Source organism: Homo sapiens, chromosome 2 (genome assembly GCF_000001405.40).
Source record: "Homo sapiens chromosome 2, GRCh38.p14 Primary Assembly".
NCBI lineage: Eukaryota > Metazoa > Chordata > Mammalia > Primates > Hominidae > Homo > Homo sapiens.
The window spans coordinates 89923700-89950207 of NC_000002.12; the positions used below are offsets into that span (position 1 = coordinate 89923700).

Below are 26508 nucleotides of genomic sequence, written 5' to 3' on the forward strand. Positions count from 1 at the left end.
TTCATGTCATCAAAAGTGCATGACAAATAAGCTCAGGGGAGCCACCGGGTTCTCAGTCATCTGCAGTGTCTCATGACATGAAAAGAGGAGACTGAGGAATCTTCCTGTAATCCTTCAGCCAGTCTTTCTGCAGCCTTAGGTAGGGTCTCCACGTGCATGTACTCATCAGTGCTCTGTGGAATACTGAGGGAGGCATCTGGGGATAGCCTGGGCTCTCTCTGAACTCCCTCCTCTGTTTCTCTGTCTTTCTGGACCTCCAATTCTTTTTCCTCTCTTCAGGGACACTCCCAGGCACCTCATGGATTTCCTTTCACTACACAATGCTCTGGCAACTCTCCTCAGGGTCTCAGATGGATCGTTCCAAATTTCATCTCCTTTGGTTTAAAATCTTCTGGGCTCAATATCCTTAATTTCTAATGTCCAATTTCTTGAAAACATTTGCCTCATGTATTGTGTCCTGTGTTTTAGTTAATCCAGAGAGGAGTGTAAACCTAGTCCATTCTAATCTCTTTTGGCTACAGGTTGAATATCTGGAAGCCTACGTCTGAATTTAAATATTTTTCGCTCCTCAAGGTTCTTCACCAGCACCTGGTAGTGTGAGGATAGCAGGTCGTGCTTTAGGGTTGCAATTGGGACTTTACTGCCATTACCCCATCTCTTGCTTTTTCCACACCACACAAGTTCTCCTGAACACATATACAGACACTTCACACACATTCACATGCCATCCCGCCTCCCAGCAGCAGAAACCTGGCCTCACTTTGTGTCTGAGCGGGGAACGCCTACTGCGTAGCTACTCTCAGAGGAACGAGCCCAGAGAAGGGGCCAAGTCCCTGGAAGTTAGGGTTAGAACATTTGAATTGGTAGTTTCAGGACCCCAAGTATCAGGGTGTGATGTAGAAGAAAATTGGCTCTATATTAGCACAGTCTCAGTCTCTCTCTGTGAAAGACTGGAGGGGAGGAGAGCCTGGTGAGGGCCCTTCACTTCTGGGGCCCAGAGCAAGAGGTCCCTCATGTTGAGTGTGCATGTAGCTTTGATTGATGCATTATTACTGAGACACTCAATAGCTCCATTGAAATACAAGATTGGAGACCTCCAACCAAGATGCTCTGTCAGTGTTGACAGGGCTCCTTTATGATCCAGCAGGCTGTTGAGGGCTCCCTGGCCTTGATGAGTTCGCAGCAGAGCTAGCTTTGTCTCCAGCCTCATCCTCCCTTCCTCTGTGTCTTCCGTGAAACTCGGAGCAATTCCCCAGGTGATGTGATCTTGTCTTCATCCTACTTTGAAGAGAATTGATCCTGAGTGGTTCTGGGGTATTTAAGGTTGTACATTTATCCTAATTCAGGCTTCAGTTTCACAGCTATCCTATTTGGTTGATGAAAGAAACTGTATTTGATTTGATTTTTGTTTTTTTGATAATCAGGTTTGGCATCCTCAGTCAGAACTTTCATGCTGATGAGCTGAGAGAAATAAAGTTACATGGGTCTAGGCACAGTGGCTCACACCTATAATGCCAGCATTTGAAAGGCTGAGACTGGAGGATTACTTGAGCCCAGGAATTTGAGACTAACCTAGGCAACATAGTGAGACCCCATCTCCACAAGAAATGAAAAAATTAGCCAGATGCCGTGGCACACGCCTGTGGTTCTAGCTACTGGGGAGGCTGAGACAAGAGGATTGTTTAAGCCCAAGGGGTTGAGGTTGGAGTAAGCTGTGATCTTGCCACTGCACTCCAGTGTAGGGGACAGAGCAGGACCCAGTCTCAAACAAAACAAAACAAACAAGTTACATTTGTCGTGAGGGGTAGACTATGTAGGTCCCCAAACCAAGAATAGGATGCCCATTTAGTTGATGGATACTAAAGAGACCTGTGTCTTCAGATAATAATTTGTCTGTGAACTACACACCTTTGAGAAAGCACAGTGTTATCTTTGTGCGTCTACAGTAAATTTCCATGTCTTATGGTTGTAACAGGTGTGGCTCAGTGCCATCACAAAATACCTTAGAATAGCTTGGGTATGCTCTTAAGAGCTGCCATTTTTATTTTTAAAATATTGAAACAATTTCACATTTACAGAAAGTTTGTAAGTAGAGTACAAAGTAACACATTTCCCCCTAAACCATTGAGAGTAACTTGATGACCTCATAGTTCCACCCTTTAAGACTTTGCTATGTATTTCCTTCAGACAAGACATTTTCCTACATAACCCAATACATCTGTGGAACCAGGGAATCATCACTGGTGCATCACTCCATCTAATCCTCAAGTGTATTTCAACTTTTGTTAATTGTTCCAATAATGTCTTTTGTAACAAAATGATTCACGGGTTGCCTTTGCTGGCCTGTACCTCCGTAGTTTTCTTCCATCTAGAACAGTTCCAGTGTCCTTGTTTGGACTTTATGAACACATTGCTTTTGAAGATTACACACCAGTTACCATGTAGATTGTCAATTTAAATTTGTTTGAATTTTCTTCAGGATTGAACTCTGTTAGTGTAACTGTTGCGGGAATATCCAGAAGCGATACTGTGCTCTCACTGAATCCTATTGGGATGTGTGTGATTTCCATCTGCCACATGACTGACGAGGTTCAGTCTGACTCCTGCTGAAGGGGGTGTCTGCCAGGCTTCTCCCTGCACCTTCACTGTTGTTCTGTTTGAAAGAGATAAGAATTTGTGGAGATGTTCTTGATACTTCATGAATATCCCTCTCCTAATCGAAATATAGACATGGATCCATATTTTCTTCAATGGGTTATACTCTGCTACCATCATCATTTATTTTCATAGTCAACCCTCCTCTGATTTGTCCAATGGGAGCCTCATTCACACTGCCTCTGAATACCTGCTGTTTTTATCCCATCATTCTCTGAGCACTTTTTTAGTTTCTGGCACTAGATGGTACAAGCTCATCTTCCATCTCCCCTATTTTAGACCTGACATCAGCCATTTCTCCAAAGATTACTGATTCCTTTTAGTAGAAATCGGCATTCAGAAAAATAAGATCTACACACTAAATGTGTTCAGTGGGACTGATGTGTCATCGCTTCTAGAGAAAATGAGCTATCTATTATCTATCATTTGTCTATCTATCATCATCATCTATTCATCTATCTTTTTACCTATATCTACATAAACCATGAATTGGCACTGATATAGCTATAATCCAGAGTCATAGAGTTTATTCTAGTACGCGCTTTTAAAATATTTCTAACATTTCTCCCTGGGTACCTTGGCTCTAATTATCCTTACTACACTGACTTATGGGATCAACATCTCTTTGTGACACTAATCTCCTGCTGTCATTGCCACCTACACGCTCCTTTTAGACAACTTCCCTCTTCTGCCTCACAACCTGCATTAGCCCTGATATGCTTTGCCAGCTCACTGTTAACTTTGACTCCTGCATGGGTGACCTTCTCAATCTACATGGGCCGTTTTGCTAGTACCACTGGCTTTACCCCTTTTGAAGGGCCCTGCTCATCCTGCTTCAGCTGTGACATATGTGCTAGTGGGAGGATGTTGCCCCACATCCTGCGCCTATGTGGGGATACCCTCCTCCCTCCACTATAGCTTCAACACCTCTGGTGGTCTTCCCTCTCTACTGCACATCAACTGCCCTTTCCATGCCATGTGGGTTTCACACTCTGTGCAATATTTTGGTTTCCCCTTCATTTTGGTGCATGGTTTTCTTTCTGAACCTACTTTGGTCAAATGCCCTAAACCCAGTCATTAAGAACTGCTTTCTCTTAAAAACTGGAAGAGATTGGTAATATAGAGATATACAGTTTATGGAACAGAGTAGATTCAAGAGTAGATGTGAGCACTGGGTCTAGATAACATCTCAGTTTCCGGAAGATATTAGCTTAAGAATGACGTAAGGCACACATATTAATCCAAGGAGCTCAGGAAACATCTAGCATAGGAATGCATGATGGCACACAGAGGTAGAGAGTAGCTGACACTTTTCAGAAGTGGAGGGAGAAGATTTCTGATGTTGGCCTAGATGTAAGAAGTAGGAAAGAAAATGTAGAAATACAGGAAGATGATCACATGTCTGAGATAAGAGATTTGCCATGTCGTTTACCCAGTGTACAAGGATTACCCAATCCTTGCAAAGCATTACACTACTTTCACATATTTTGTGTTAACATTTTCCTTTTTCTTATTTTTAATAAATAAATCTGTCCTTCTATCCATCCATCTATGTATCCATCCATCTTTCTTATACCTCATCATTGCATCTCTGGCTGATAGTGCTGATGATTTACAACATCAAGGGCTCTAGAGGATCAGAGCAAAGAAGAAGTCTCTGTGGCCTCAATAATATTCATCAGTACCAAACGCAGGACACTTCTAAAATTTATTGCAGATTCTGGAGATGTGCTTCTCCAACAAGCCAGGTCTTAGACGGGAAGCTAGCAAGAAAAGTAGGTCATGACCTACTTCTGCAGAGCAGAAAAGCAATCTCCTTGCAGGACAGTAGACAGATTCTGTTCTGTGGCCCCCAGAGAGAAACTTGTTCTCTGCTAACAAGTGTATGCAGGCCTGATCAATCTTAGGACCCCTGGGGGACACTAGGCCTGTGCAATATTATGCAGATAAAGTCATTCTTGCATCTGTTGAAATTTTCATTTTCAAAAAAACACAGCCAACTTCCTGAAGACTTGTACACAGGCTGGTCATACCACTTGCAAGAGTCAGTCCCAGTCAAGACACAGCATGGACATGAGGGTCCCTGCTCAGCTCCTGGGGCTCCTGCTGCTCTGACTCTCAGGCAAGGAAGGAGAACACTAGGAATTTACTGAGCCAGTGTGGTCAGTACTACCTGGCTATTCAGGAAAGTCCTCTCATAACATGGTTAATAGTGTTAATAGTTTTGTTTCCCATCTCAGGTGCCAGATATGACATGCAGATGACCCAGTCTCCATCCTCGCTGTCTTCCTGTCTAGGTGAGAGTCACCATCACATGCCAGGAAAGTCAGGTAGGGCATTAGCCATGTTTTAGCCTGATACAAAGAGAAGCCAGGGAAAGCTTCTGAGCTCCTGATCTACGATGCATCCAATTTGCAAACCTGGGTCCCATTGCAGTTATGTGGCATTGGATCCAGGACAGATTTGATTCTCACCATTAGCATCCTCCAGTCTGAAGTTGCTGCAACTTCTTATTATTGGTCAACAGTATAAAAGTGACCCTCTCACAGTGTTACAAACCCAATAAGCTCCCCAAGGAAGCAGATATGTGAGGGTGGGCTGCCCCAGCTGCTTCTCCTGTTTCCTCCATCTGCTGAGAGTGTTTCTCAGACTCAGCCACACTCTGAAGGTCACTGAGCAGTTTTCATAGAAGCGGTAAGGGAAGTGTCTCTACACCCTTAGTTTCTTTTATCCTCCTCAGCCCCAGCAGCAGACATGGCAATGCCTCTCCTAATTTCATAGAAGAGTCATTACCTATGAGGACTCTGGGTTACAGCACTGGTCCAGGTTCATACAACAAAAGAGAAGCTATTGTAGGTAACCCAAATAGAAAGTTTTTCCTAATATGGGAAATCCATGTCTAAATTACAACTTTTCAAAGACCAGAGGATATAATGGTTAGGAAACCAGAAAGGCAAAAGGAGTGCTGGGAAATCTACTTCAAGAAGCAATGGTGGCCGCGCACGGTGGTTCAGGCCTGTAATCCCAGCACTTTGGGAGGCCGAGGCAGGCGGATCACCTGAGATCAGGAGTTCAAGACCAGCCTGGCCAACATGGTGAAACCCCGTCTCTACTAAAAATACAAAAATTAGCCGGGCATAGTGGTGGGTGCCTGTAATCCTAGCTACTCAGAAGGCTGAGGCAGGAGAATCATTTGAACCAGGCAGGTGGTCTCTGCAGTTTCGAAGCCCAGCGCCATCTGTGGCTGTTATGCATGTCTCTCCCAGCCACCCTGCTGTCCAGAGCCCATATCAATCCATGGGGGTAGGTCTGTGAAAGAGCAGCTCAGTTAGGACCCAGAGGGAACCATGGAAGCTGCAGCTCAGCTGCTCTGATTCTTGTTACTCTGGCTCCCAGGTGCAGGAAACATCGGATGGTTCTGCATGTCAGTGAAACTTTCTCAACCTTGTTGAGTCCTGTTACCTGGCACACCTGCTGGGAAGGCACAATGATTAAAGCTCAATGTAGATCAATGGTCCTGGATGCACTGGGAAGACAATAGGTATGATGTAGTGTACATGTGTGACATTTCTGTTTTTATTCCAATTTCAGATACCACCAGAGAACTTGTGATGACAGTCTCCAGCCTCCCTGTCTTTATCTCTAGGGGAAAAAGCCACCCTCACCTACAGAGCCAAGTAGACTATTAGCAGCTCCTTAGCAGGGTATCAGTGGAAACCTGGACAGGCTCTCAGGCTCCTCATCCATGGTGCATCCACCAGGACCACCAATGTCCCAGCCTGGTGGAGTGGCAGTGGGTTCGGGGAAAACTTCAGTCTCATTATCAGCAGGCTGGAGCATGAAGATTTTGCACTTTAACACTGTTATCAGCATAGTGGTGGGTATTCCACAGTGATTCCACAGGAAACCAAACCTCCACAAGACAGCTGGTGTTTTTTCCTCAAGCCTTCTGTTTACTTATGGGAAGCTACTATGGTGGCTGCTTAGTTATTGAGAGAAAACAATGGAGACTTCAATAAATAGAAGTTTATACCACATTCATGCATTATAAAACTTAATATTGTGAGTAACATAATTCTCCCTTAATTAATTCAATACAGTGACAATTAAAATCCCAGAGGACTTTTGTGAAATTGAAATGATGTTTCATATATATATAGTATATATATATATATATATATATATATATATATATATATGTACTCACATACCACACACTATATATATATATATATACACACACACTATATATGGTGTATGTATATATATAGTGATATGTATGTGTATAATATATATATAGAGAGTGTGTGTGTATATATATAGATACATACATATCACACATGCATTTAAAAAGGACAAAAATAGCCATTGGAATCTTGCATAAGAATAACAGGTCAGGCTGGGCGTGGTGGATCACTCCTGTAATCCCAGTAATTTGGGAGGCTGAGGTGGGCAGGTCACCTGAGGTCAGGAGGTTGAGACTAGCCTGACCAACATGGAGAAACCCCATCTCTACTAAAAATACAAAATTAGTCAGGTGTGGTGGCACATGCCTGTAATCCCAGCTACTCAGGAGGCTGAGGCAGGAGAATCATTTGAACCTGGGTGGTGGAGGTTGCAGTGAGCTGAGATCGCACCATTGCACTCCAGCCTGGGGAACAGAGCCAGAATCTATCTCAAAAAAACAAAAACAAAAAACAACAACAAAACAAAACAAAAAAAGAATAACAGGGCAGGCATGGTGTCTCACGCCTATAATCCCAGTACTTTGAGAGGCTGAGGCAAGTGTATCGCTTGAGGTCAGGAGTTAGACCACCCTGGCCAACATGGTGAAACCTTGACTCTACTAAAAAAATACAAAAAATTAGCCAGGCATGGTTGCACATTCCTGTAGTCCCAGCTGCTTAGGAGGCTGAGACAGGAGAATCGCTTGAACCCAGGGGGCAGAGGTTGCAAATGAGCCAAGATCATAGCACTGAACTCCAGTCTGGGTGACAGAGCAAGACTGTCTCAAAAAAAAAAAAAAAAAAAAAAGAACAAAATTGAAGGAATAACACCAGGCAATATCAAACCCTGTTACAAATAACACTAATTAATAATGTAACTACAGATCCGCACATATGTAATCACCCAATTTATGATAAAAGTGTTACCACGGGCCAGGCACAGTGACTCATGCCTGTAATCCCAGCACTTTGGGAGGCTGAGGTGGGCAGATAACGAGGTCAGGAGTTCGAGACCAGTCTGACCAGCGTGGTGAAACCCCGTCTCTACTAAAAGCACAAAAATTAGCCAGGCATGGTGGCACATGCCTGTAATCCCAGCTACTCAGGAGGCTGAGGCAGAAGAATCACTTTAACCTGGGAGGCAGAGATTGCAGTGAGCCAAGATCGCACCACTGCACTCTAGCCTGGGTGACAGAGACTCCGTCTCAAAAAAAAAAAAAAAAAAAAAAGAAAAAAACACTGTTACCATAGATGATGCATACTGAAAGAGAAAAATATCTTGGTCAGGTAATTTAAAACAAGAGACATGTACTTTCTCACAGTTCTGAAGGCTGGGAAGTCCAAGGTCAAGGCACTGGCAATCTTTTTGTACCATGAGGGCTGCTCCAGCTTCCAAGATGGTGGCTTGTGGCTGTGTCCTCACGTTGTGGAGGTGGAAGGGCAAAAGAGACAAATTCTGTGTGAAGCCACTTTTATTGGGCGTTCATCCCATTCACCGGGGTGGAATCCTCATGAATAATCAGCTCCCAAAGGCCCCACTTTGTAATCCTGTTGCATGGGGTAAACAGGAATCTTGGATGAGATGCAGACATTCAGACCAGAGCAGTGATCAGTAGAAAAATATATAATAAGTGAACTGTATTGGATCAATAAGATATCTATATTACATCAAAATGAATCCTGACCTCTACATTTCACCTCTATATTATATAAATATCAACTCTAAATGAATCATAAAATGAAATATGAAGGCAAAATAATAAAGCTTTTAGTAAAGAGCATAAAAACATATATCATAAACAGGTGCAGAAATAAATTTCTTAAAGAGAACACACAAAGCACTAGGCACAAAGACAAAGATTCATGAATTAGGTTTTATTTGTATGAATTCCTTCTTATAGGGTTTTAAACAAATAAATTAAAAATATTATTTGATGAATACATATAGAAGAAATTAACAGAGAGGAAAGTCAAATTATAAAGAATATGAGATTCAGAATTCTGATTAACTGTGGGGGGAGATAGGCATATGGCATCGTGGAAACCCCACCCAGAGATCACACTTTTAGAGGAACCTGTAGAATGGTAGGCCTTGTGACAGCCATCTTGAAGGATATAACTGGCATCAGTCAACCCTGTGGCCCAAACAATTCATATCCCTCTTACATGTTAAATGCTCTAATTCTCACCCCATCAAGTCTAAGTATTATTCCATAATAGTGTCAGGGCAAAATTCAAAATATCATCACCAAAATGATGTCCTGGGGACTGATGTTAGCAAGATAGCAGAGTAAGAGATACCAGGCTTCAGCCCTCACAAAACCCAGCAATTAGTCAGTTATCCAAGAAGGCCAATACCCTGGGAGGGCTGAAGAGTTCAATTACAAACATGCAGCAACATGATAGAGTAAAAAGCCAAGAATAAGCACATGCAAAGGATGGCTGGAAGCTGATGGCACACCTGAGAGCCCTGATACCTCTAGGAACAAAGAAAGGGGAAGCAATTGTTATCAGCCAGAGGTGGTGCCACTGTGGGCCCCATAGCCTGCTCTGTGGCAGGACCCTGCAGCCTTTGCTGCTGATAACCTCAGCAGCCACCCAGGCAATCCCCCACCATTCAGCTTTCCCAGTGGAGGCCCTTTAATATTTCTTGTCGAGGATCACAGCAGCCTGCTCCACAGGGGCCACTGGTGCTTTTGCCTGGACGGTTACCTGCAGCCATAGTCGCACACTCCCCAGAGAGGGAGATGCTGCTATACGCACTCCGCAGTGAGGAGCCATTGTTTTCTCTCCTGTGACAGGGCTACCTCCCAGCCCCTTGGCATCAACCTTACCCTCTGCACTGCCCCAGACCCAGGCCTCCAGGTCTCACCCTGCCCTGGCAACTCAGACAGTAAGCCACCTTTATGTGGACTAGCCCATGCCCAGCCCCAGACCCACTGTCACTGCAAGTGCACCCTCGCTCCAGACCTCGTCACTGTGGCTGTTCTGGAAATTGCCAAAGACATCAAAGAAATTGAGACATGTTTATAGGCATACCTCAGAGATATTGCTGGTCTAGTTTCCAATCACTGCAATAAAATGAATATTATCATAAAGGGAGTCACACTCATTTTTTGGTTTTCCAGTGCATATAAAAGTTATGTTGACACAATCTTGTATTCGGTTAAATGTACAATAGTATTATGCCTAAAAAATGTACATACCTTAATTTTTTAAAACTATTGCTGAGCAATACTGACATAGAGACAGGAAGTAAGAACCTACCACTGGAAAAACGGCACCAAAATAGTTACCTGAGGCAGAGTTGCCACAAACCTTCAATTGGTAAAAATCTCAGTATCTATAAAGCACAGTAAAGCAAAACACAATAAAAGGAGATATGGCTGTATCTTGAAAAGGATGAGAGCTTTGGGTAAGGACAGTGTTAGGTTTTGAAGGGAAGGGAAGGGTTAAAGAAAGACAGAGAGAGAGTTGGCGGCTCTACAGCAAAGCAGGTTTTATGTCCAGCACAAGACTGTGGAGGTGGGGGACTAGCTTAATACCAGAACCCGCTGCCGCTTACAGGCTGGGGTACTTATAGGTATGGGCGGGAGGGGTCTAGACGGTATTACTTGCTGCCCGGCAGGACGTTGATAACATGTTCCTGTGGTCAGGCGGTTTTGCCAAGGATGTTCCTTGGGCCTTTTGCCCAGCGGGGTGTGATAAGAATGTTTCTTGGGCCCACTGTCCAGCAGAAGACGATAGGGATGTTCCTGTATTCACGTGGTTAGGCAGGATGTTTCTCACAGTTCTAACCCCCGTGGAATGCTTCACTTTGACCAAGGTCTACAAAATGGAAGGGGGGCTTACAAAATGGTGCACCTTGGACTAACAGATAGGAAAAGTCTATGGCCTTTTGCCTGGAACTGCTTTTTCTCACCCAAGCTTCGTCAACAAGAATTTTAGAACTGTAGTTTTACCAGCTGAAATGGCAGCAACAACTGGAAGCTTGTTGCCAAACGGGATTGACTTGAGCTGGGATGGAGAGTAGAACAAGATCCTTCAGTGTTTTCAGCTAATGGTGCTGAACTCTGCAGGAAATGCCCAGAAAAGGCCCAGAGTTTTGCAAGTCCAAGGTGATGACCCTGGGAGACTGGTACACCAGCTAAAACTTGATAATGGATTACTGGAAACCATGGAGTCATAGAATTATAGAGATCATCCCTGCACACATTCTTAGAATGAGCAGATGTGACTTAGAAATTGCGTATTTGAGTGACAGAGACCCAAGTGGGCCCAGTGAATAAAAGTGAAGGAGGTGTCTTTTATGGGCACGCTTCAAGCCACACACATATACATTGGCAGAAAGTAGATTATTGAGGTCAAGGAGTTTGAGCAACACAAATGCCTAAGTTACTGGTGATTACCAAACTGTGCAGACACAGGTAGGGCTTCTGGCTAAAACTTAAAATGAAAAAAATCAGAAATATCAATTGCCAAACAGCTAGTAAGGGATAGATTCTGCAGCATAAGACCAGTCAAGCTATTAAGAGGAAATTCAACAATCTTAGAAAAATAAAACAGAATGCAGAATTATATATTATTTGTGAGACGTAAAAAATATATTATCAACCGGCATTTTTCCATTAAAATTCCTGAAAAGAAAGAGAAAATCATAAACCATATTGAGATAAATCAGTCAGTGGAAGCTGACTCTTGACTGTTCCTAAATACTGGATTTTGCTAAGAGTTTTAAGTGGTTGTCACATAAATGCTTCAAAGAATATTCAAAACTATGAGCAAGGACTGAAAAAGGAAAATATAAAGACAATTACTCAAAGAATGAGAACTCTCAACAGAGAAAGGGAAACTATGGGAAAGGAACAAATAGGAATTCTAGATGAAAACTATAAAAAGCAGTATGGAAAATTCACTAGATAGGGCAACAGGAGTTTAAGTTGGCAGAAGCATCAATGAGCCTGAAGACAATTTAGTAGAAATGATCTAATCTGAAAAAGAAAGAAAACGACTAAAGAAAAATAATCATGACCTTAGAGGTTTACAAGTCAATGTGAAGAAGACCAGAAATATGCAATGAGTCAGAAACGAGAAGTCAGAAAAAGTGGCCAAAAAAATTTTGGAGGGATGACAAAAGCTTTCAAGAAGCAATGAAACTCATTCATCTATAGAGAAAAGAAATTGAAAGAACTTATTCAGGACAAACACAATGATACACATAACTATACATATTATAATTAAAATGCTGAACCAATGACAAGGAGGAAATCGCAAATGTACAAAAATAAAATGACTCTCTATATACAGAAATACAGTGATAAAGCCATCAGCTAACTTTTCATCATGACCAAAGGAGGCTAGAAAACAGTGGAATGACATATGTAAATGCTGGGAAACAAAAGAAAACAAAACCTAGGATTCAATATCCAGTGAAAGTATGCATTCAAAATAAAAGTAAAGTAAAAACATTTCTTGATAAACAAAAATGAAGAGAAATAATTACTTAAAGACATGCTGTATAACAAATTCTCTAGGAAGTTCTTCAGATTCACAAAAAATGACAGCAGACAGTAACTTGAATCTGTAGGGAGGAAGGAAGGCCTCAAAAGTGCTAAGGGAACAAAAAAAGAGCTAGACCAAACCAACATGTTTACTTCCGTTTATATGAGGTTTCATGTAGGGAAAGCCAATCTATTTGGACAGATGTCAGAATGCCAGTTTCCTTGATTGGGATGGGGGGAACAGCTGTTTCCTGAAAGGTAGGTACATGAGGGAAGAATCTGGAGATTCTGCAGTATTCTACAGTTTAATCTCGGTGGAGAATATATGTAAAACTTTATTCGGTTGCACTTTTTAACATTTCTGTCTTTTACTTTGTGTGTGTTTTATTTAAATTTTTAAAAAATTGAAAGGGCCAAATCTGAACTCTTTTAAACAAAAATGAACAAAAACATAAGAATTAGTAAATATTTGTGGAAACATGGCCTTATTAACAAGAAGTATAAAATGTGCCTGGGAAAGTGCTATGAAACAAGAAATCTGTTAGGGAAGACAGAAGGAAATACTTAAATTTCTCCCACATAGACAGCATAGATTATATGCCTACTCATTTCCCTCCAAACAGAGAAGATATTTAAGTCATTTTGCTCACAACAGAGGCTCCTACCCTCCCCTTGGCTCTTTCCACCCCACTACACCCACCAGGTGATTTGCATATTATCCCTTGGTGAAGACTTTCCTTGTGAGTCTGAGATAAAAGCTCAGCTCTAACCTTGCCTTGACTGATCAGGACTCCTCAGTTCACCTTCTCACAATGAGGCTCCCTGCTCAGCTCCTGGGGCTGCTAATGCTCTGGGTCCCAGGTAAGGGTAGAAGGGAGATGAGGGAGGAGAATGGCATGGAACGGTGAGTTCTGGGGCCCCACTGCCTCTAACAACAGTGATCTCTGGGGGTCTCACTACACTCCTATGTGTGTTCCTTTCCTGTATTGGACATGCACATGTTGTCCTCCAGAATGGGGCATGTGATGATCAGATCTGTGAGAGTCAGGAAGATTCAAGAAGAAACAAGGATCTGTGCTCTGGGGAAGACTGACACAGAAAGGGGATGGTGTGGGGTCTTCTGGAGACCCCTTTGAGCCTTGGATCCCTTGAGTTCCATTTTGAAACTGTATATTTTTGAAATATGAACAAATACATATATAGCCTGAGATAAACAACAAATCAAAATTTATGAAAATTACACATAAACTTTATACATAACCTTGCTCTTCTTTCTATTTATTTCAGGATCCAGTGGGGATGTTGTGATGACTCAGTCTCCACTCTCCCTGCCCGTCACCCTTGGACAGCCGGCCTCCATCTCCTGCAGGTCTAGTCAAAGCCTCGTATACAGTGATGGAAACACCTACTTGAATTGGTTTCAGCAGAGGCCAGGCCAATCTCCAAGGCGCCTAATTTATAAGGTTTCTAACTGGGACTCTGGGGTCCCAGACAGATTCAGCGGCAGTGGGTCAGGCACTGATTTCACACTGAAAATCAGCAGGGTGGAGGCTGAGGATGTTGGGGTTTATTACTGCATGCAAGGTACACACTGGCCTCCCACAGTGGTACAGCCCTGAACAAAAACCTCCCTGTGGGGTGGCCCAGCTGCCCACATGTGGTGCTTGTCTGGGGAGCAGCTCAGCAGGGTCTCAGAATCTGTGTAAGAGGAAGATGCTGGAGAACCAGGGAACAATTCACAGCTGAGGACTCTGGACTTTGAGAGCCCAGTCACACCTCAGGCACCACTCCTTTATGCCCTGCCAGTTGCCACCACCTTGACTGTCATAAGCAGCAGGAGAATGAGGGGTCCAAGTGCCCTGTGAGTAAACAAGCAAGATGGAAGGGAGAGGAGAATGAAAGCTCACCCTAACTCTCCCTACCTTGTGTCCATTTGTTAATTAAATGTAATCAGCAGAGCAGCCAGGCCATTGACACAGATTGTGACTATCCATGTGGGATACATCTTTGGGTTTAGCAGTTTTTGGCATATTGTTCAGAGGACATTTGATAATATTTGATGTTGGTATTTTGCCAGTTTTCTAACTTCCTGCTTCTCCTTTTCTCCCACTCCCAAAATAGAGTAGAGACAGCATTCTATACCAGTTATCCTAAGCGGAAGCTGGCTGAGGACAGTCAGTAAAAATCTTGATTTTGGAGTATCAAATAGATTTTTGTAAATTCATAGAAGATACAAGATCCTAATGCTAAAACTGTTTAGTTAGCCTTAGTTACCTCTTAATGATAGAAAAAAGGAGTACCTGAAATTCCAGAAGTTGTTTTCAAAAATAAAAAGCATATACTGGAAAATGTAGAGTATATAATTTTCCCCATAGAAAACTGGAAAAGTACAGAATGATGTGAATGTTTTTATTTCCAAATGTTAAGAATTTAAGATTGGGCAGACATTAGGGATGAAAGCATGAAGGAAACCCAGGAGAGGTCAGCTTCAATTAAACTACCCTTGGCCTTTGGTAGGTAGGGATGTGGATGGTGGTGGAGTTGGCAGTTCATGATGTGGACCCAGGAGGCCTGATGTGTTTCTTGTGAAGAATCACAGAGTTGAAGGCACCACTACCTGGTTTCCTGGGTGGAGCCTGCATCACTGCGAATTTTCTGGGAAAATAATGCTTTGGGAAGGGTTTTAGATCTGTAATCACCAAAGGCTTAGTGAAATCCCTGTGCAAGGAGACCTGAGGTCATGTCACTCATATCTTGTCAACCCCACACAGCCAAGCAGAGCATCTGAAACTCATTCTGTCCCTAGAGACTGCTGGTTGGGTCTGGAGATGTCACAAGCACTGACATGCTGAGCAGAAGGCCCAGCAGGGTCTACACCAGCAGGGGGCGCAGTGGGGATGGAGACCAGTGTCCATGATTCAGACATGTATTCGGGATGCTCTGTGTAGCCTTGGGGATTGGGGGAGCACGCTGAATCTGTGGAAGTTTTATGTCCTTGTAGCCCAGCACCTCCATCCCTGCCTGCTGACTCAGACCTCAACATGTGTCCCATGGAAAGCACGGGCCACGTATAGAGGCTGCCCTGTGCAACCCCCAAGGCTCAGCTGGATTCTCCTTTCCCAGGAGAGCTCCTCTGCCTGCACCAAGTCAGAGCTTGTTTCCACAGGCAAACTTGGCGGCTATGGCAGAAGGACAAAAAGTCAGGTGAGCATCAGCTCAACAATGAAAGGTTCTTTTTACTATGGCATTTTACATCATTCATTCCTTATTCCTTCCACTACTTTCCAAAGTCATTTAATTCTAACTTTGGTATTCTATTATTTTAAATGGTTTGTACCTTTTGCAGTGGTTGTTTTGGCCTTTCCACTTCTATCTACATTGCTGTACCTGGGAATGAAGATTCCTTTCATTTTTTTTTTAAACACAAATAAAGTTTTAGAAGTGACTATGTTGGTACTATTTGGTCAAAAAAAGTAAAACATTTTTAAACAATAAATTAATGTATTATTTTCACTGTACCTCGTCAGTACTTGGACATAAACCTGATTCCCACATTCTAACAATAGTGATATAAAAAATGTATGCTTTCCATAGAGTCAATTTAAAATAGTTCTCTATGAATATTTGTGAATTAGTAATGAGCCTGTGATTTACGTGCTATAGCGTGGTATGACTAAAGTAAAACAATGTTGCAATCAACAGGATAAAGTAATCCAGATTTAGATTAAAGAAATATGTTACATTCGAGATAATTTTCTATTAAAGATAATGTATTCCATGACAAGCATAATTAAATCTGTAGTTTTAACCAGACAGACAACATATACAGTAAAAATTTGGTTTATAGCAAGTGGTGTATAAGACAAAATTAATAACAAGTCTCCAGAGTATATTTTTACACATACCAAAAAGTAAGGACACACATACAATCAAAATTTTATTCATTTCTTCATCACAGGCACCAGTTTGGAGCCTGGAGATGCTGCACGTTCTCCTGTGAGCAGAAAACTCACCAGGACCCTGCACAGCCCGAGGGCCTCAAACGCAGCCTCCCTAGGAGGCTCAGCCTCTCAGTGCAGCACCAGCAACTGCAGCGCCCAGAGATGGAGTCCACAGCAGATGGGCTCAGGTGAAGATGGCTGGAGAGCCTTTGAAGAGGAGGTCATGAGTCCTCACTTACAGGCATGGGCTCTACTTCTGTGCGAACAGGGCCAGGGCCCCCAGGAAGCCTCCCAGAGCCTCTTCCTTCCTCCCAACTTAGGGTGTTCAGGCCCCACAGACTCTCCAGGGAGTGGCTGCCATGTCCTCTCTGGAGCAACCATGAAGTTCCCTGCTGCCCTCATGGCTTCAGGGATGCTCGTTCACGTCACTGGGAGGGGATCCTTGTGGGTCGTGACCTCACCTGCTGCCTCTGATGAACTTCGGGGCACTTTTTCCTCCCTTTGCCAAATGACCTCACTCTCACCAACACTCTGAGGATTGAAAGTTGTCTGCACTGCATGATTTTTGCTTTTGAGCAAGTCAAAGCTCACAGGAGTCTCACACATGCATAGCCTGTATTAATATTACACACAATTCCTATTTTCACTTTTCCTATCTTCTTCCAATTTTCTCTGCACACTTACTTACCCTGCCCATCCACTTTCTCCTGTGAAGCTGCTAATGTGGGTTTTTATTTCCAGGCTGACGTGATTTCCTTGCTGCAATAATAGACATGTGCTCATCACATGCCCACATTTTTAAGAATAAAATATTTTGAGCACAAATTGCTCTTCTCATACTCGTATGTCAGGGTGGCAGCTCAGGGGATCGGTTTGAAAATTTATTTGCTAAAATGCATGAATATTTCTAGAAATTCGGTGTTATAAATTAAATGTCTTCTTGCATCCCACAAATTTTGATGTGTGTTTTCTTTCACTTCAGATTGCTTTGAAATGTCCATCTCTTGGTTTCATCTTTGTCCCAGGCTTTGTTTAGTAGTATGTTACATAGTTTTAAAATATTGAGATTTTTTTCTGATAGCTTTCTGTCATTGATTCCTAATAAATTTCCCTTGGCTTCTGAAACTTTATTTTATATGATTTAAATCCATTTAATTTCTTTGAAATAGCTTGTGGCTCAAAGCATGATCTCTCTTAGCTAATGTTTTAAAATGGCTATGGAGTCTGCTGTTGTGGCAGAGTGTTCTCTCAGTGTCAATCCTACCCACATGGTTGACGGCTTTGGCAAGTCATCTGTATCTGCATGGGCCCAAGAGACACTGTTGCCTACAGTGCAGGCTGGAGCTGCTGCAGAGCCCTTTTCTGCCCTGGGTCTCCACTAAAGGCTGGGAAGACTTCCATGTCACCTGGATGGTGACATGACCAGTATTCCACGGTGTAGAATCTGTTGCCTCTAGATTCCAAAAAGGCCGCTGTGAGCTTCCTTCATTTTTTTAAATAAAGACTCTCATGAAACAGAATGGAACGGAATACATATACCTATCATCAGGAACTCTGATTCTCTCCAAGTTTATGAAGCACATACTATCATAACCTTATTGATTTGGGTAAACCATTTAATGCCATTTGATGGCAGCTATAGAGCTGAGTACCCAGAAATATGAGCTGCAGTGCAATACCAGCTGGGAGAGGTCAGCCTCCCAACCATAGCCAGAGTATGACCAGGCAGTCACAAAGAGTTCTCCAGGAATTTTCTGATAATTTTCCTTGTGTCAGGGCAGTTTCTGGCCTGGCTTTCTAATGAGGAAGGGGTAAAAGTTGACACTGTGATGTCCTGACTTCTAGTGCACCAACTCTTACCCAGTCCTGTCAATAACTCAGTAGGCTACACAAGTCAAATTCTCGATAGGTATATTAACCCTGGTCTAAAGTTTTTATTTCTTTTATGGATTTGCCTATTCCATTAAACATTTTAATATCTTGAATACGGTTGTGCAAATCATGCCTCTCAGTCTCTCTGCAAATATTAATATTGGGGCAAATTTAATAACAGTTTTCTCATGATGTCATATTTTCTTACCAGTTCTGAATAGGCTGAACTGTATGTAATGACAAATATTATAAGCTAGTTTGAGCTCAAGACAAATTACTTTTACTGAAATTTAATACCTTAGCATCAACCTGGAAACAAAAGATGTTGCTCAAGTTTAAAAGTCTATTCATGAGTATCATAAACTTGCACATATTTGCTACAGTATTCCACAGGATCAATAGGTTTTCTGTTTTAATGTGCTAAATATAGACACTTTTTGTGCAATCAGATTTTCTGGGATAAGCGGATAACAGAGATTCTCATATTAGGCTTTAAATTCTACCTAGGACTGCTAGGATTTCACAATACAAAAAGTCATTTTCTGGGTTGACGATATTCTTCATTTTCTAGGGTAAGAACATTAAATAGGAGTAAGAGCTGGTAAAGTAAGTCTCTAAGACACGGTCATATCTATAGTCCTTTGTTACACTTTATAATTTCATGCCCTGACTGCTTCTAGGAGGTTAAAATTTATTTTATTTAATTTTATTTTATTACTGATCTTGCATTCTTTTCTTGCTAGGATATATTTTAGAAAAACAAATTTGGAGAAGTACTGAAATTTGAGCACAGTTAATGCTTCATAGCACATGTGAACTTTGGGTGATCGTTGACTCCTGGCCAAGAAAGGACCAGTAAAAGTGAAATTTACCACTATGACATGAAGCTGCTGCTTCCATAAGGCAGAGTCACCATTTCCAGGTGTCCATGTAGAGGCTGTGCAGTTATTGTTATTATTACCATTATTGTTGTTATAACAAGGAATGAACACCAGGTAATTTGTTCAGCCCCTGCCTCTTTCTTATTCTGAACTTTAGATTTTTATGAACAGGAGTTGACAGGAAGAGGCTAAAAGAGAATTTCTGTTGATTTTATAAATTAAGTGATTTGATTTTGTCTCTGATTTTTTCCTGAAGGTCTTAACATTTCTGCATTCAAAATTTATATGAGTATTTTGTTGATCTTAAAATTAATATAAAATGAGGAGTAATAAATGTCAAAATTCTCAAATTATAATTTTAATTTTTCTGTAGGTGAACCATGCTCTCTAAATTAAAAAGTAAGAAACAAATTTATTTGTCTTCTTGGTATATTCATACAAATTTTTACATCACAGGCAGTTTCCACTGCAGTTTAAAAGGCTCAAATTCCCGATTCCGTCCCCAGAATCTTCTTGGGGTCTCCACCCTCCACCTCTCAATTAAACCAAGCTTTAATATAAAGTCAAAAAGACAACTTTCATGTTCACATGGTGGAAAAAATTAATAACCTTCCAGGCAAGTTGTGATTTTCTAGAAACCTACTTTTGAGGAGTGGTTTTATAGAGACCTACTTTCTATAAGGGTGAGAATTTCGAGGGAACTTATAAGATGCAGAAGGCCCAGGGAGGCAATGGAATTATTGTTTCGCTTTTTGTATTGATGTTTGGTGAGGTGGGCTCTGCAGAAAGATTAACATGCATGAAGGAAAACTCCAGCACTGAATCTCACAGCTCAGTCTGTTGTTTTATAGGACTTTTTTCCATTTTTTTTTAAGCAAAAGGAAAGACAAATAATCCAAACGTTTAGAAACAGTTTCAGATTTGGCAGGTTAGAAGAGGGTCTGAAGACTCAGAAACATGTTACATGTTGCCTTCCAGGTCAAACATGTAAACAACTCTGTTTTCTCCAGTTTTTAGAGAGAGAAATTCTCAGAAGCACAAGATATAGACGTACAAGAAGCCTTCATTCCCTGAGCTCTCTGTGTACCAGAATATTTATCCATGAATCTATGCCCCAGTGGTGACAATTTTCAGTTAGTGAGATAATGCAGACAGCTTCAATCTCAGGTGTCTGGAGCCAGGAATCTAGTCACAGGACCTGCAGCGTCAGAGACTGAAGCTCCCTTTGTAGGTGACTTGGTCTTTTTTTTTTTTTTTTTTTTTTTTTTTGAGACGGAGTCTCGCTCTGTCGCCCAGTCTGGAGTATGGTGGCGCCATCTCCGCTCACTGTAATCTCCGCCTCCCAGGTTCAAGCCATTCTCTTGCCTCAGCCTCCAGAGTAGCTGGGACTACAGGCGCCCGCCACCACGCCTGGCTAATCTTTTGTATTTGTAGTAGAGACAGGGTTTCACCGTGTTAGCCAGGATGGTCTCCATCTCCTGACCTCGTGATCCGCCCGCCTCTTACACAGGGGCAAACTCTCACTTTTAGTCAGGAAAAACCTCCATTGAGGTCCAGGTGGAGAACAGGCCTCTGTATGTCTCAATCTCCTCCAGAACAGTGTGAGTTTCCCTGTTTGGACAAGTACAGTCGGCAGAAAAAAGTTTACAGAATGTGTGACAGTGTTGTAGAAATGAGCTAAAGATGGCCAGTGCAAACTGCCCCTATGTGGTGTGTTTCTAAACTGCAGGCTATTTCTAAATGGCCTGTGCCACACTCAAGTTTTCCAATCCAATCATTTCAAAAACAGCCCAAAGATTATTTTTTTTTTTTTGAGACCGAGTCTTGCTCTGTTGCCCAGGCTAGAGTGCAGTTGCACGATCTCTGCTCACTGCCACCTCTGCCTCCCGGGTTCAAGCGATTACCCTGCCTCAGCCTCCTGAGTATCTGGGACTACAGGCGCCTGCCACCACACCTGGCTAATTTTTTTGTATATTTAGTAGATATGGGGTTTCACCATGTTAGCCAGGATGGTCTCCATCTCCTGACCTCATGATCTGCCCACCTTGGCCTCCCAAAGTGCTGGGATTACAGGCGTGAGCCACTGCGCCCAGCCCGAAAGAAGATTTTTAGCCATTCAGAGAATGCTTGCTTTTCATATCACAGGAAACCTCACCCACATCTGTTAGCAGTAGGTAAGATAAGCCCCAGGAGATGAAAATTGCAAATCACTCCTGCCCTCTGGATATCTCAGACCCAGATTAAGCTGTTGTCTGGCTACCCCTAGACAGAGAATGCCTTTCTCCAGTGTTCCTTTACCTTAGGATTTCCCTTGTTCTCCACCTTTTCTGAGTAGCAGCCCCAACATCTTTCATTCTAGACAGTCTCCTGCTGTGAGGGACTCCTTTGGGCAAATCTGTCAAAGCTTCACCCAACAACAGTCATGTGTGCTACTGCCACCCTATGGACATCTCTTTCTGTTTGATCAGAACCTCAATTTTTCAAACTCTCTATAAACAGGACCACACTATCCACCCCACAAACACTGACTCCAGCATAATGGACACAATTCCACCTCCGAGGCTGTCTTCTCAAGTCATACAAATAATACACTTGCCTTCAATTTTATGGACTGCAAACTAACAGCATCTGGCAAGTGAGATGCAATAAACCCCACCCGGATGAGTCCTTCCTCATTCGACTGATCATGGTCCAGATTCGAGAAATACAGAGGCCGCTCCACAATTGAATCAAATAGAGGCTGTTCTTCTACCTTTTTAACTGTGTCCAGCATGGAGCGACCAGCTTTGTCTGCTGTTGTGAAGCCTCTGTGTACTCTATTTAAACCTTCAGGAGAGAGGGGTTCCTCTTTAGAATTAAGAATATTATTCTCTAAGTTTAATAATGTAGGGTAATTTCAAGGCCTTTAGTATAGGGTAATTTCAGAGCCTTTTTATGATTGAAACAATTTTTTACAAGGTTTTACATTTTCAGATATGTAATGACAAGAGATTATGAGATAAAACAACCAATCCCAATCGTAAACTTTTTAAAGCTCTGTCATTAATTTTCAAAGGAAACAGCAGTACTCTCTGAAATTCAGCACCTTAAAGAATACTTTGTAAAACTAAGATTTTGAAGAATTGACTAATAGTAAAAGCAAGCTTGACAGATTTATTACTGTTATTCGTTTTCCCACAATGCAAGTTTCTATATAGGATAGTGGGTGGAACTGATTATTCAGTTAACACCTTTTCAGACTAATCCGTTTATACCAGTGATAAGATGTACCTTAATGTTCTCTTTTAGATTGTGTCTTTACTTTTATTTTTCTTTTCAGCATCTGATGTTTCTGACTCTTTTAACTATTATGATGAATTAGGAGTTTGACATTTCCAAGGCTAAGAACCATATTTGACCTGCTCAGCATCACAAGAAAAAAGAAGTCAATGCCAGGCACCGTGGCTCACTCCTGTAATCCCAGCACTTTCAGAGGCCAAGGCAGGTGGATCGCTTGAGGCCAGGAGTTCGAGACAAGCCTGGCCGACATGTGGAAACCTCGTCTCTACTAAAAATACAGAAATTAGTTGGGCATGGTGGAGAATGCCTGTAGTCCCATCTACTCCAAAGACATGAGAACTGCTTGAACCCAGGAGGCAGAGGTTGCTGTGAGCAGAGATTGCACCACTACACTCCAGCCTGAGTAACAGACAGAGACTGTCTCAAGAAAAAAAAAAAGTGAAACACATAAGATTTACAAAAAGTGATGAAAGAATAGAATAAATAAAAATTTAAATAGTGAAATATGATACATTTATTCTAATCCTACTTCCACACTACAATTTGATATTCTCAATTTAGGTTACTGCCATGACGTTCAACGTTTTAAGGTCAATATCATTTTTACTCAATTTTTTTCACCAACTTTGTTAAAACATCATATGCCAGTGCATTTCCCGGAAGATAATCAGGACAAGCTTTGTGTGCAAAACACCTAGAGCTCTGTTTTGCTTTTCTGGGTGTGTGTTCTTTACCAAGTAAATCAGATGTTGTATTAAATCACTGAAGATTACATAGCACTAGAAACTATTCTTTTAATTGCTCCCAGGATTTTTGTTGTTTTTTTCAGGACAGTGGCAGTCTCTGTGAAGTGATTTGATGTACGCACCGTTATTCAGGAGCAGCTAAATTCAATATTAAGCACATCACTGACAAATGAAGAATACTCAAGTTGTTTTCCTATTGTAACGATGAGTTGTGTGGTAGATTCATATGCCTGACCTGTGATCATCTTTCAATAAAAACCTAGGAAAATGTCGTCCATAGTACTGCTGACCCTGAGACTTAAAACCAGGGATCCAGTTCTTGCTCTTCCTACATAGAGAATCTCATTTTGAACTGTGGTGTCATGGCTGTGGCTGTGCCACATACAGGCCAGGGGGAGACACGGGTTCACCCTCAGAGTTGACAAGAATTTGGAAGCCCTGACATCCTATAAAACGTTACTTGCCCAAGATTGAAACTTTCAAATTCAGGTCCTTCTTCCTCCTCTATGATGAATTAGGTTTTATTAGTTTCCTCCAAGGGACACTTTATATCACATTGCTCACAGAGAAGACATATCTACCCCCTTCACCCCCCACCCAATGGCTCTTTCCACACCACTGCACCCACCAGGTGATTTGCATATTGTCCCCTAGGGAGGACCTTCCCTTGTGAGCCTGAGATAAAAGCTCAGCTCTAACCTTGCCTTGACTGATCAGGACTTCTCAGTTCATCTTCTCACCATGAGGCTCCCTGCTCAGCTCCTGGGGCTGCTAATGCTCTGGATACCTGGTAAGGATGGAAGGAGATGAGGGAGGAGGAGGGGGTGGGAAGCTGAGCTCTGGCGGCCCCACTGATTCCCGTGTTTATTCTAACCATGTGTTAAAGGAATATGGCCTATGCTCCAGGGAGAGGAATTCATATTTTGCCCTGATGATGATTTGAAAACTCCTAAAAGCAGTGCTCTGAATAATATCTTGAGAAATGAAAGAACTCTTGTGCCTATTTAATAAAGGGTTCATTTAAAGAGTTTGTTTTTATGATATGAATACAAATTTGTAAAAATAAAAGATTAGCCATAAATCAATACCATAAGGCAAATCTCAAAAGTTGTTCATTATGCTTTCACATAACCTTGCACTTCTCTCTCATAATTTCAGGATCCAGTGCAGATATTGTGATGACCCAGACTCCACTCTCTCTGTCCGTCACCCCTGGACAGCCGGCCTCCATCTCCTGCAAGTCTAGTCAGAGCCTCCTGCATAGTGATGGAAAGACCTATTTGTATTGGTACCTGCAGAAGCCAGGCCAGCCTCCACAGCTCCTGATCTATGAAGTTTCCAACCGGTTCTCTGGAGTGCCAGATAGGTTCAGTGGCAGCGGGTCAGGGACAGATTTCACACTGAAAATCAGCCGGGTGGAGGCTGAGGATGTTGGGGTTTATTACTGCATGCAAAGTATACAGCTTCCTCCCACAGTGGTACAGACCAATACAGAAACCTCCCTGCTGGGGTGTCCCAGCTGCTCACTTGCACTGCTTGTCTGGGGAGTAGCTCAGCAGGGACTCTGAGTCTGCAGAAGAGGAGGCTGTTGGAGAACTCAGTGGCAGGGCTTGCTGTTGAGGACTCTGGCCCATGAGAGTCTCAGCAGCACCTCAGTCCCACATGGTCAAAGCTTTATCAGTTGCCAGGCTCATCCTCACCCTGCCTGTCTTGCCCACGTTTGCCGAGTACACTCAATCAGCATAACAGCCAGAACATAGATGCAGTTTAGTGACAACACAGGTGGAATACATGTGGCAAATGACCAGCTTGGGGTTTATTTTACACAAATTAATACTTGGTGATAATATTTGGAATTATTGCGAATTTGGTATTTTCCCACTTTCCTTACTTTCTATTTCACTTTACTACTCACACTAAACTGCACTTTCCAGTGTCATGTGGGAGAACGTGTTCTATACAAGCTGTCCTCAAGGGGAGTATGGAAAAGAATAATTAGAAAAAAATGTTTGATTTCTGACTATTCTTAGACTTTGTAAATCCATGGCAGATATAAGATCTTAATGCCAAAAGATTTTGATTTGCCTCAATTACGTTTTTCCCAGTGAAGAGGGAGTTCTTGCAACTCCAAAAGTGAGCTTCAGAAATAAGCAGCACTGGCCGGGTACAGTGGCTCACGCCTGTCATCCCAGCACTTTGGGAGGCCGAGGTGGATGGATCACCTGAGGTCAGGAGTTCGAGACCAGCCTGACCAACATGGTGAAACCCGGTCTCTACTGAAAATACAAAATTAGCCAGGGTGTGGTGGCACACACCTGTAATCCTGGCTAGTTGGGAGGCCGATGCAGGAAAATCACTTGAACCTGGGAGGTGGAGGTTGCAGTGAGCTGGAGATAGTGCCACTGCACTCCAGCCTGGGCTACAAGGCGAAACTCTGTCAAAAAAAAAAAAAGCAGCATAAACTGAAAGATGAAAAACACAGAGTTTACTAAATATGCCACAGGAAAAATGCAGAATTATATGAGAGGTTTTTTTTTCCTCAACCAAATTCTAATTGTAAAAGTATTTATTCTAAGTACTATTTTAGGGATGATAAATTTAGTACTATGTCATCATAATAAAAGGTTTCAAATGTTACAAAAATGTATTATTTACTTATGATATCATCATTACCAGAAAATGAATCTGGATCATATGTTTTAGTTGTAAAAACATAGAAAATTTATTATTTCAATAGATTCCATGTAAAATAGTGTTCTAGTGTTATAATATTCTATCAAGCTCAATGATGAGCTATGTCAGTTACATATTACAATATTGTGTGATAGACACAAAATGATTGAAGCAACAGAACAAGAAGCTCCTGCTTCAGATTTAAGGTTTAAAGTATATTTGAGATGATTTTCTACTCTAAGATAATGGATTTCATGGCAAGTGCAATTAAAATTCCGAAGCGCCATTTCTGTTGGGTTTAGTAGACATTGCAATATTTATATAGAAATCAAGCAGACTGAAACTGTGAAAATAAGAAACATAAGACACTTAATACACTGTTTAAAATGCTAATTAATTCATCATGGAGCTTAAAAGTTATTACAGAATGCAGGGAGAGAAGACAAGCATAAGTAGCAAGGGCAGGAACTAACCACTGTCATCACCATCTTTGGCCATCAAGTGATTGACAGCACCTAGTGACCTAAGATTCTGCTTTGATGTGAGACAGGGGAAAAGGCCCAAACCACTCAAGGTGGTTGGACACCTTTAAAAACCAAACAAACATACAGCCTACATGGTGCTGATACCTCAAGGGGCGATACTCTCAAGTCAAAATGGTGAAAAATAAGTGATTCCAAATACGGAAAGGGATACAAAGAGAATCAGAGCATAATCAAATGTATTACAAAGAA

The 26508-nt window shown here is 42.0% G+C and overlaps 2 pseudogenes, 2 gene segments (V, D, J or C) and 1 further gene, besides 9 other annotated features; all 5 read left to right on the plus strand.

The window, feature by feature from the left end:
- The window catches only part of IGK (immunoglobulin kappa locus), a 1378008-nt gene that overhangs the window by 1066339 nt on the left and 285161 nt on the right, over positions 1 to 26508 (plus strand).
- Positions 4723 to 4777: a sequence feature (IGKV1D-32 leader sequence).
- Positions 4723 to 5197, plus strand: IGKV1D-32 (immunoglobulin kappa variable 1D-32 (pseudogene); annotated as a pseudogene). The gene is given in 2 exon segments: positions 4723 to 4777; positions 4896 to 5197. Coding segments are annotated over 2 exon segments (357 nt in total).
- Positions 4896 to 4906: a sequence feature (IGKV1D-32 leader sequence).
- Positions 6003 to 6051: a sequence feature (IGKV3D-31 leader sequence).
- Positions 6003 to 6540, plus strand: IGKV3D-31 (immunoglobulin kappa variable 3D-31 (pseudogene); annotated as a pseudogene). The gene is given in 2 exon segments: positions 6003 to 6051; positions 6247 to 6540. Coding segments are annotated over 2 exon segments (343 nt in total).
- Positions 6247 to 6257: a sequence feature (IGKV3D-31 leader sequence).
- Positions 12941 to 13030: an enhancer, noted in NCBI's record as "active region_16179". NCBI's record gives its function as "activates an Ori minimal core promoter by ATAC-STARR-seq in GM12878 lymphoblastoid cells {active_cell/tissue: GM12878}" and the evidence as "EXISTENCE:reporter gene assay evidence [ECO:0000049][PMID:35858748]".
- Positions 13195 to 13243: a sequence feature (IGKV2D-30 leader sequence).
- IGKV2D-30 (immunoglobulin kappa variable 2D-30) lies at positions 13195 to 13980 on the plus strand. The segment is given in 2 exon segments: positions 13195 to 13243; positions 13670 to 13980. Coding segments are annotated over 2 exon segments (360 nt in total), but the record flags the coding sequence as incomplete, so codon positions are not given.
- Positions 13670 to 13680: a sequence feature (IGKV2D-30 leader sequence).
- Positions 23843 to 23891: a sequence feature (IGKV2D-29 leader sequence).
- Positions 23843 to 24572, plus strand: IGKV2D-29 (immunoglobulin kappa variable 2D-29). The segment is given in 2 exon segments: positions 23843 to 23891; positions 24260 to 24572. Coding segments are annotated over 2 exon segments (362 nt in total), but the record flags the coding sequence as incomplete, so codon positions are not given.
- Positions 24260 to 24270: a sequence feature (IGKV2D-29 leader sequence).